This window comes from Homo sapiens, chromosome 19, assembly GCF_000001405.40.
Source record: "Homo sapiens chromosome 19, GRCh38.p14 Primary Assembly".
In the NCBI taxonomy this organism is placed as follows: Eukaryota; Metazoa; Chordata; class Mammalia; order Primates; family Hominidae; genus Homo; species Homo sapiens.
Genome location: NC_000019.10, coordinates 3,945,590 through 3,956,907, shown reverse-complemented (window position 1 = coordinate 3,956,907; position 11,318 = coordinate 3,945,590). Strand labels below are relative to the sequence as shown.

The window sequence follows — 11,318 nt, the reverse complement described above, 5'->3', positions numbered from 1 at the left end:
TGAACCTGGGAGGTGGAACTTGCAGTGAGCCGAGATCGCACCACTGTACTCCAGCCTGGGCGACAGAGCGAGACTCCGTCTCAAAAAAAAAAAAAAAAAAAGGAAAAAGGGTGAAAGTGGTGCATTGTATGTTATGTGTATTTTATTTATTTATTTTTTGAGATGGAGTCTGCCTCTGTCACCCAGGCTGGAGTGTAGTGGCGCGATCTAAACTCACTACAACCTCTGCCTCCCAGGTTCAAGCGATTCTCCTCCCTCAGCCTCCCGAGTAGCTGGAATTACAGGCACCTGCCACCACACCCAGCTAATTTTTTGTATTTTTAGTAGAGACGGGGTTTCGCCACGTTGGCCAGGCTGGTCTCGAACTCCTGACCTCAGGTGATCCACCCGTCTCGGCCACCGAAAGTGTTGGGATTACAGGCGTGAGCCACCGCACCTGGCCTGCTATGTGTACTTTAACCATAATAAAAACATATTTCAAGCTGGGCATGGTGGCTCATGCCTGTAATCCCAGTGCTTTGGGAGGTGGAGGCAGAGGATCACTTGAGCCCAGGAGTTCGAGACCAGCCTGGCAAACATGGTGAGACCTTATCTCTACAAATAACAATAATTAATAATAATAATAATACATCTAGTACATCCAATCTGGTTAATCGTCACAGCCTTCAGCACTCCCTACCAGACCCCCTAGGGCTTCTCATCCCCTAGTACACAAAGCATCAAGCCTTGGCCTCTCGGAGGCCTCTGGGACCCCACCGGAGGCCAGGACCATCACCCCCTCAGCCCCCAGAAGACCAGGAGGCCTCTCAGGTCAGCCCCTCTGGTCAGTCAAGGAAATTGAGGTCCACGGAAGCACAGCAGGGCCCAAACTCATACTCCCAGCCCTTTTCCTGGAACCAGCAGAACATGAACCCTGCTGGGGAGGGGCGGACCAGCTACACCAGGAGACCAGGACCCCCGGGGGCTCCCATTGCTGGGAGCATGCAACCACACTCTGGCCCAGCCTTCCTCAGTGGGGTGACCCCGAGCCCCGAGTCCCCAGCCCCGTCTCTGGCCTTCCTCTGGGCACCTGAGATGGGGCTGGTACCCGTGGAGTGCTCAGTCTTGTCAAGGACACCCCAGAATCCACGTTGGGTGGCAGTGGCGTGCAGCAGCTTCAGGGGCTCACAATTCTACGGGATTCCCACTCCACAGCAGTGTGAGGCTGAGTTCCACTGGCAGAGGGTCAGATGGGGCACCCTGTCCCCCACTCAGGGTGTCCGGTGAGAGCTCAATTGGTGTCCTCCACAAAAATACTGAATTCCTAAATAGGCCCTTATTTGGAAATAGGGTAGATGTAATTTGTTAGGATGCGGATGTGGAGGTAGTTAGAATGACATCATGCTGAAGTAGGGTGGGCCCTAGTCCTTATGACTGCATGGGGGCTGGGTATGTACGGTGGCTCACGGCTATAATCGCAGCACTTTGGGAGGCCGAAGTAGGCGGATCACCTGAGGTCAGGAGTTCGAGACCAGCCTCGCCAATATAGTGAAACCCCGTCACTACTAAAAATACAAAAATTAGCTGGGCGTGGTGGCAGGTGCTTGTAATCCCAGCTACTCGGGAGGCCGAGGCAGGAGAATTGCTTGAACCTGGGAGGGGGAGGTTGCAGTGATCCGAGATCATGCCACTGCACTCCAGCCTGGGCGACAGTGAGACTCTGTCTCAAAAAAGAAAGAAAAGACTACGTGGGGGCTGGGCGCGGTATGTTGACTCACAGCTGTAATCCCAGCACTTTGGGAGACTGAGACAGAAAGATCGCTTGAGCCCGGGAGTTCAAGACCAGCCTGGGTAATAGTGAGACCCCCGTTTCTACAAAAAATACAAAAATTAGCTGGGCGTGGTGGCACACGTCTGTAGTCCCAGTTATTTGGGAAGCTGAGGTGGGAGGATCGCTTGAGCCTGGGAGGTTGAGGCTGCTGTGAGCTATGATCGTGCCACTGCCCTCCAGCCTGGACAACAAAGTGAATCCCTGTCCCCCCTACCCACCGAGAAAGGCCATGTGAAGATGGAGGTAGAGGCCGGGCATGGTGGCTCACACCTGTAATCCCAGCATTTTGGGAGGCCAAGCTGGGTGGATCACAAGGTCAGGAGTTCGAGACCAGCCTGGCCAATATGGCGAAACCTCGTCCCTACTAAAAATACAAAAATTAGCCGGGTGTGATGGCAGGCTACTTGGGAGGCTGAGGCAGGAGAATCACTTGAACCCGGGAGGTTGGAGGTTGCAGTGAGTTGAGATCGTGCCACTGCACTCCAGCCTGGGTGACAAAGCGAGCCTCTGTCTCAAAAAAAAAAAAAAAAAAAAAGATGGAGGCAGAGATTGGAGCGGTGCGGCCAAGGAGCCAAGGACCACTGGCCACCACCGGAATCTGGAGGGGTAGGAGGGAGCCTGGCTCTGCTGGCACCTTCCTTCTGGCCTCCTGACCTCTGGAGCTCTGAGAGCCTCTTGAGTAGCGTGGTGTCTGGCTCACACGGGCATATCATGACCTGCCCTGTGACTATACCTGGCACTGGCAGGTCCCTGGCAGTTTCCAGCCCTCAGCTCCCACAGGCTGGGACGGTCACTGGTCTGATTTCTAGGTCAAGAAAACACCCATGGCCCGCCCTGGGGCGAGCCGTGGTCTCACCGCCCCTGCAGAATCTGGCCTGTCGAATTCGGCTTTCAGGAGGGGCGGCAGCTGGAGGCCCTGCCGGGAGGCTCCATGTATGGGCAGACAACCTCTTGGTCATGCCAGTAGCCAAGGAGTGGCTGGGATGGAGTGAGGCAGAGAGGAGTGGGGGGGGCTCAGGGTCTGTCTGGTGGGAGCGAGTTTTCTTTTTTTTTTTTTGAGACAGAACTAGTCTCCTGCCTCAGCCTCCTGAGTAGCGCTGGGATTACAGGCGCCCGCCATGACGCCCGGCTAATTTTTGTATTTTTAGTAGAGACGGGGTTTCACCATGTTGGCCAGGCTGGTCTCGAACTCCTGACCTCAGGTGATCTGCCCGCCTCAGCCTCCTAAAGTGCTGGGATTACAGGCGTGAGCCACTGCGTCCAGCCAGTGGGAGCAAGTTTTCAAAGACATCCCTGGGACAGGGCTCAGCGCCAGGGAGAGCCAGTGAGGGCTTGGTGTGTTTCTTGCCTGGTGCCCATCCCTGTGCATCCAGCGATGACTGCAGCTGCCTGCGTCCTGGGCGTCCGTGCTGCTGCTCTTGGGCAGGGTTGTCGCGTGCGGGTCCCCCCCCCCGCCCCCCTGCAGCTGCTGGGCCAGGCGTGACCTCCAGGACAAGGCAAGCTGGGTTCAGGCCATAGCTTGGCTGTGACTCAACCCTGGGGCATCAGAGAAAGGTCATGGGGCTGGTTGAACACAGGACCTCAGGTGCTGGACAGATAAGATAGACGTCGCGGGGGAGGGAACACCCCACACCACGCAGGGTCCCCCCCAACTCTGGGCTGCGCTCAGGAACACAGCACACAGCCAGGGACCGTGGGAGGCAGGCTTTGCAGTAATGAGAGGGTGAGGGGGCCTCCGCTTCCCCAGAGAAGAGATGATCGGCCTGTTGAGAAAATTTCAGGCCGGGTGCGGTGGCTCACGCCTGTCATCTCAGCACTGTGGGAGGCTGAGGCGGGAGGATTGCTTGGGCCCGAGAGTTGCAGGCCAGACTGGGCAACCTGGGGAGACCCTGTGTCTACAAAAAATTAGAACATTAGCTGGGTGTGGTGGCTCATGCCTGCAATCCCAGCTACTCAGGAAGCTGAGGCGGGAGGATCACTTGAGCCCAGGCGGTCAAGGCTGCAGTGAGCTGTGATTATATCACTGCACTGCAGCCTGGGTGACAGAGTGAGACCCTGTCAGAAAAGAAAAGAAAAGAAAAAAGAAAAAAAGAGAAGAGAAGAGAAAAAGAAGAGAGAAGGCAAGGGGAAGAGAGGGGAGGAGAGGGCAAGGGAGGGGTGGAAGAAAAGAAAAGAAAAAAGCAGGCCGGCCACAGTGCCTCACGCCTATAATCCCAACACTTTGGGAGGCCGAGGTGGGCAGATCACCTGAGGTCGGGAGTTTGAGACCAGCCTGACCAACATGGAGAAACCTTGTCTCTAGTAAAAATAAAAAATTTAGCTGGGCGTGGTGGTGCATGCCTGTAACCCCAGCTATTCGGGAGGCTGAGGCAGGAGAATTGCTTGAACCCGGGAAGTGGAGGTTGTGGTAAGCTGCGATCGCACCACTGCGCTATAGCCTGGGCAACAAGAGCAAAACTCTGTCTCAAAAAAAAAAAAAAAAAAAAGAACAGAACCGGCACTTTGGGAGGCCGAGGCGGGTGGATCACCTGAGGTCAGAAGTTCGAGACCAGCCTGAACCACATGGTGAAATTCTTGTCTCTAATAAAAATACAAAAAATTAGCCAGGTGTGGTGGCGGGCGCCTATAATCCCAGCTACTCCAGAGGCTGAGGCAGGAGAATCACTTGAACCCAGGAGGCGGAGGTTGTAGTGAGCCGAGGTTGCACCACTGCACTCTAGCCTGGGCGACAGAGCGAGACTCCGTCTAAAAAAAAAGAGGCCGGGTGCGGTGGCTCACGCCTGCAATCCAAGAACATTGGGAGGCCGAGGCGGGTGGATCACAAGGTCAGGAGATTGAGACCGACCTGGCTAACAGGGTGAAATCCCGTCTCTACTAAAAATACAAAAAATTAGCCAGGCGTGGTGGTGGGCACCTGAAGTCCCAGCTACTCAGGAGGCTGAGGTAGGAGAATCATTCTGAACCCGGGAGGCGGAGGTTGCAGTGAGCCACGGTTGTGCTGCTGCACTCCAGCCTGGGCAACAGAGTGAGACTCTCTCAAAAAGAAAAGAAGAGGAGAAGGGGAGAAGAGGAAAGCAGAAGAGTTCCAGGGCTAGCAGGGAACAGAAGTGACTCAAGGAGAAGCAGGACCCTGCCCAGCCCCCTCTGAGGATGGAGGGCTCTTTGCCTAGGGGACGCACCTGCAGGAGCAGAGGAGGCCATCGGGGCCCTCCCGGTTTCCCCAGGCTGAGCAAAGGCAGCACAGGACACAGAACACGCATTTGAGGCTTTGCGCCGCAGCTTGGATTTAGTTACACACTGTCTGCAAAATGTGTCCTGGGTTGAAGCACATCCTGGCTCTGCTCCTGGTAAACGGTGCTGCCTCTCTGCCATTTCCCCCTCCCCAGGGGACAGCGATTCCATCTGCCTCCCAAGATGGTGGTGAGGGCGGAAGGAAGGGCTGCAGCGGGGCCTGGCACCCTCTGGAGGGCCCCCAACTATGAGTCTTGTTTGATTCTAGGGTCTCAGACTTAGTCATTGCCAAGTCGCGTTGGGTGGGGCGAGCGCTGCCTGGCGCCTCCAGGTCAGGGCCTGGAGCAGGTGTTGGGAGGAGGCCTGAGTCCAGCAGAGCCCGCAGCTGCCGTGGCCTTGACCATACACGGGCATGAAACTGCGGTCACTATTAATAACCACGGTGCCTTTGCCCAGGTCCAGGGTGACAGCCGCTATAAAGCCAGGCCTGCCAGCCCCAAGCGGCTCCTTCAGCCCCCGAGAACCTTAACCCCCCTGTTGTGAGACAAAAAGAAAAGTAAGTACCAAAACCATCTCTCCCCCCGTCCCCCTGGTCAGCCTCGTGCAGAACACGGGCCCCCGCTCGGCGGCCGGAAGTCAGACACAGAACAGTGGTGAAATGAGATCCCCCCTCAAAGGACGTCCGAAGCACAGATCCGGGGTGGTACCTACTTGTCCCAGGCGGTTCGGTGGCCTCCAGGACAGCCCAGGCCCAGCCCTGCCTAAGGAGCAGGGAAGATGGCTGTGGGGAGGAGGAGGAAGAGGAGGAGGAGGCAGCGGCTGAGCTGTTTGGGGGCTGGGCCTGCTCACTGCTTCTCCTTATCTAAGGGGACAGAGCCGGGGATCCCGCCGCAGGCCGGGTGACCCCAACAATGCATGTGTGTCTTGCGATGATGTGGCCACAGCTGTGGCTCCCTCAGTGGGGGGAGGCGAATGGCGAGGACGGAGGTGGGGGCTCCCTCCCTCCGGCCCCCTCCCCACCCCAACCCCTGGCTGTCCTGGGGTCTCCCGCCCCTCTCTGGGGTTTCATAGTTTGAAGGTCCCTTTAGGGGAGAACTTACAGGCCATGTCCTCAATGAGCCCTGTTTGGATTGACTGCACCTCACGGGTTCCCTGCTTGGAGAGCCGCTGGACCCCCACCTTGTCACCCCCTCCCCTACCTTGGAGGGGGCTGGGCCCTCGTCCTCCCGGAAGCTCAGTGGTTTCTCGACCTCGTTGAATGCTGCAGAAGCTTAACGGGGGCAGAGAGGAGACAAGGCCATTTCTCGGGAGCCCGCAGCTCCCCCAGAATGTGCAGGGTGGATCCTGTCTGGCCTCTTCAGCCTGCTTCTCCCCCAGGCCCTAGCTGGGCCCACAGCTGGCCCCAAGGACACCCCCTTAAGGCCCTGGCAGCAGGGAGTCTGGGGCACCCAAGCTCGGTGGCCTTGGAGGTGACAGCTTTGGCCCTGGTAGGGCCCTGGGGTGGGGGGCGGGGGGCGGCGCCAGCGGAGTAACTGCTGATTAAGGGGCCGGCTGACTACTACTTGATGTGAGTGGCAGATGGTTGGGGGTGGGGTGGGGGTGCCTGAAATAGAGTTGGGGGGAGGCCGGCACTAAAACCTCATCCCCCCCACCTCCCAGGGCCTCTCTGCTTCCATCCGGGTGGGTCTCAGCCTCTCTCTTCCCATGGCCAGCAGGACTTCTGGGGAAGGGCCTGAGGGCAGAGTCCCAGGGCTGGGTGGTCCCAGGGGAGCGGGCAGGGCAGGGCAGGGAGTTCAGGTTCTCCATGGAAGGGACTGTCCATCTGTCTGCGCACACACCCTCCAGTGCCTCCCAGGCAGGGAGGGGGCTGCAGACTGGCTTCCTGATGACCCAGGTGGTTCACGCCTATAATCGCAGCACTTTGGAAGGCTGAGTTGGGAGGCTTCCTTGAGCCCAGGAGTTCGAGACTGGCCTGGGAAACAGATCCCATCTCTACATAAAATAAAAAAATTAGCTGGGCACGGTGGCACGCCCTGTAGTCCCAGCTACTTGGGAGGCTGAAGCAGGAGGATTGCTTGAGCTCAAGAGGTTGAGGCTGCAGTGAGCGATGAGGGTGCCTCTGCACTCCAGCCTGGGTGACAGAGTGAGACCCTGCCTCAAAAAAACCCCCCAAAGATTGCCTTCCCAGCTGGAGAAGCCACTGAGCCAGGGGCACAGCGGGGTCCTGCCTGTCTGTCCCAGGCCCCGGGAACCCTGAGACACCCCTCCCCAACCCCTCACAGGGAAAGGCTTCAGAAGCTGCAAACCAAGGACCCCACTGTGGGCACGAGAATCCCGCCCTCGCACGGGAGCTCGGAAGGCCAGCTTCCAACGAGGTCCTCTGCCCTCCACAGACTCCATGGGCTGCCTGTCACCTGGGGTCCTGCAAGGGTCAAGGAGGGAGGCCCCCAGGCAGGGGACTTTCAGTAGAGCCAGGCTACCCTCAGCCAAGTTCCTCAAGCTCCGGGAATGACTTGGCCCAGAGAAGTGTCAGCCACGCGACAACATGGGGGCCTCTGTGTGATGGTTGGTGCCTGCCCTGGACTCTCAGTCCCTTCCTGGGCCCACGATAGGTACCTCAAGGGAGCGGGGCAGGATTTTTTGTTTGTTTGTTTTTGAGACAGGGTCTGGCTCTGTCGCCCAGGCTGGAGTGCAGTGGTGTGATCTCGGCTCACCGCAACCTCTGCCTCCCAGGTTCAAGCAATTCTCCTGCCTCAGCCTCCTGAGTGGCTGGGATTACAGGTGTGCACCATCATGCCCGGCTAATTTTTGTATTTTTAGTAGAGATGGGGTTTCACCATGTTGGCCAGACTGGTCTCGAACTCCTGACCGCAAGTGATCTGCCCGCCTCAGCCTCCCAAAGTGCTGGGATGACAGGTGTGAGCCACCATGCCCAGCCCAGGGTAGGATTGGAGCCCATTCTCTGCCCTTAGAAGAAGTTTCTTCCCTGGGACACTGTGTATATTTGGGGTTGGACTGTTCTCTGGGGTGGGGCTGTCCTGGGCACTGCAGGGGTCGAGCAGCATCCCTGGCCTCCGCTCACCCCTTCCCAAGGCGTCAGGACCACAAATGTCTCCAGACATTGTCCAGTGTTCCCTGGTTGGCGGGAGCAGAATCACCCCCAGGTGAGAACTATTGGCCTGAGATTGCTCTTGGCCGGGAGCATTTCAGGAAGGTGAAGGCAAGGATGATTTTAGATGATATGAATTCTGTGGCTTTTTGCATTGTTTTTGAGACAGGGTCTTGCTCTGTTGTCCAGGTGGGAGTGCAGTGGTGTGATCATAGCTCACTGCAGCTTCCACGTCCTGGGCTCAAGAAATCCTCACACCAGCTGGGCACGGTGGTGCACGCCTGTAATCCCAGCACTTTGGGAGGCCAAGGCGGGCAGATCACGAGGTCAGGAGATCGAGACCATCCTGGCTAACAGGGTGAAACCCCGTCTATACTAAAAATACAAAAAATTAGCCGGGCGTTGTGGCGGCCGCCTGTAGTCCCAGCTACTCGGGAGGCTGAGGCAGGAGAATAGCGTGAACCCGGGAGGCGGAGCTTGCAGTGACCCGAGATTGTGCCGCTGCACTCCAGCCTGGGCGACAGAGCGAGACTCCGTCTCAAAAAAAAAAAAAAAAAAAAAAAAGTCCTCACACCTCAGCTTCCCCAGTAGCTGGGACCATAGGCATGCACCCCAAAGCCCAGCTAATTTTTAATATTTTTTGTAGAGACAGGGTCTTGCTATGTTGCCCAGGCTGGTCTTGAACTTCTGGGCTCAAGTGATCCTCCGGCTTCGACCTCCCAAAGTGCTGGGATTCCATGCATGAGCCACCCGAGCCGCTCTGTGGTTTAACATGTATCAGAAAATCCAGGTTTCCTCATGTTGTGTCAGAAAGGTTCCTCTTCAGAGGAATTTAGTTAAAAATCAATAAAATAAGTGGGACTTGTAAAGTAAACACAGGCCGGGCGCAGTGGCTCACGCCTGTAATCCCAGCACTGTGGGAGGCCGAGGCGGGAGGATCACCTGAGGTCAAGTGTTTGAGACCAGCCTGGCCAACATGGTGAAACCCCCATCTCTACTAAAAAATACAAAAATTAGCCGGGCGTGGTGGTGCACGCCTGTGATCCCAGCTACTCGGGAGGCTGAGGCAGGAGAATCACTTGAACCCAGGAGGCGGCGGTTGCAGGCAGGGAGCCGGGATTGCGCAACTGTACTCCAGCCTGGGCAACAGAGCAAGACTCTGTCAAGAAAGAAAGAAAGAAAGAGAGAAAGAGAGAAAGAGAGAGAGAAAGAGAGAAAAGAGAGGAAGGAAGGAGGGAAGAAAAGAGAGAGAAAGAACACAAGCTTGTGTGTGGGGGTGTCTGTGGCCCCCATTGTGAGTGCAGGAGGAGAATGAGGGACTTCAGAAGCATCCAGCCAAGGGGGTGGTTGCTGGGGACTAGGGCCTCCGCTGAGGGGACCAGAAAGCCCTGGGGGACTGGCGGGACCCTGAGGGGATTCCAGGAAGTTGGAGGTGATGGAGGGGGGTCCCACACAGGAGCAGGAGGGGTCTCCTCTGGGGGAACGAGGATTCCCGAGGTGATGGTACCCTGACACTGGGCCCAGGCATGGGACAGTGGACCTGGCTCAGGTTCCCAGGCTCGGCCACCTGGACTCGTATCCTTATTCCCCCTTTTTTCCTTTTTCTTCTTTTTTTTTTTTTTTTTGAGATGGAGTTTCGGTCATGGTGCCCAGGCTGGAGTGCAATGGAGAGATCTCGGCTCACTGCAACCTCCGCCTCCCAGGTTCAAGCGATTCTCCTGCCTCAGCCTCCCGAGTAGCTGGGATTACAGGCATGCACCACCATACCTGGCTAATTTTTGTGTTTTTAGTAGAGACGGGGTTTCACCATGTTGGCCAGGCTGGTCTCGATCTCCTGGCCTCAGGTGATCCACCCACCTTGGCCCCACAGAGTGCTGGGATTACAGGCGTGAGCCACCTCACCTGGCCCTGATTCCACCTTTCATGTGTGGTCTTGGGTAAGCAAATCCACTTCCCGAGCCTCAGTTTCCCCATCTGCAAAAAGGAGTCAGTTGCACGCATCTCTCTCGGGGTGCTGGGGAGAATTCCAAGCCCTGCTAGACACCTGGCAGGTGGATCCCGCTCACTGTGCCCATCGGGCTGGCCTGTGGGTCGGGGCCTGCCTCGGTTTGTCACTGTGGTGCATAGCGACACCAGCCATCAACCCAGCAGCTGTGATAACTCCAAGCGCCTGGTGCTACGCTGAGCACACGAGGGAGGGAACTGAGGCACAGAGACGGCGTTTTACCTGCCTGGGGACAGTGGGCCAGGAAGTGGCAGAGGCTGCCTGGGTTTGGGCCGAGCAGGCTGGGTCCTGGAGCTGCCCACCTGCACCCGGGGCTGCCTGGTCTCGGGGTGCCCTGTCCCTGTCGCTGATGGACGGGTACTCCTAGGGGGACAAATTACAGGTGCATCTGCTTTGCATTTGGGGAGAATGAGTCACTGGTTCTGTTTGTGGAGGGCAGGAGCCGCGAGACAGGCAGAGGTTAACCGACACCATCACTGCACCCAGAATCCAGCTGTACTCGGGCAATGTTGGGGTGGGATTCTCTGGGCCCCTTAGATGGCTCTGGGAGGGGAGAGGGGGTCTTCCCAGCAGGCGAGTGTGAAGATGGAAGGCCACATGGGGCTGGAGAAGGTCAGGGGGTTGGCATTCAACAGAGCTGAGTTCAAATATCAGCTCTGCTGGGTGACCTTGGGCAAGTTTCTTTCCCTCTCTGAGCCCTATAAGAATGGGTCATGGAGTAATCTGACTTCTCAAGCTGATTGGCTCCCATAAGGGTGACTCATCCTCCTGTTTCTCCTGGGAACACAGGACTTTGAGTGGTAACACCAGGAACGTTCTGGGCCAACTGGGATGAGCTAGCTACCCTAGTGCTCCTGTTCCTATTTTTTTAACTTTTAGCAAAACACACAAAGCAAAATTTGCCATCTTAATCATTATTATTTTTTTCCCCAAGACAGAGTCTTGCTCTGTCGCCCAGGATGGAGTGCAGTGGCGTGATCTCAGCTCACTGCAACCTCTGCCTCCCTGGCTCAAGCTAGTCTCCTGCTTCAGCCTCCGAAGTAGCTAGGATTACAGGCGTGTGCCACCATGCCCGGCTAATTTTTGTATTTTTAGTAGAGATGGGGTTTCACCATGTTGGCCAGGCTGGTCTCAAACTCCTGACCTCATGATCTGCCTGCCTC

The 11,318-nt window shown here is 56.9% G+C and overlaps 1 annotated feature.

Moving 5' to 3' along the window:
• Positions 4,776–5,545: an enhancer, noted in NCBI's record as "H3K27ac-H3K4me1 hESC enhancer chr19:3951361-3952130 (GRCh37/hg19 assembly coordinates)". NCBI's record gives its function as "activates a minimal SCP1, AML or CMV promoter by ChIP-STARR-seq in primed H9 embryonic stem cells {active_cell/tissue: H9 hESC(primed)}" and the evidence as "EXISTENCE:reporter gene assay evidence [ECO:0000049][PMID:30033119]".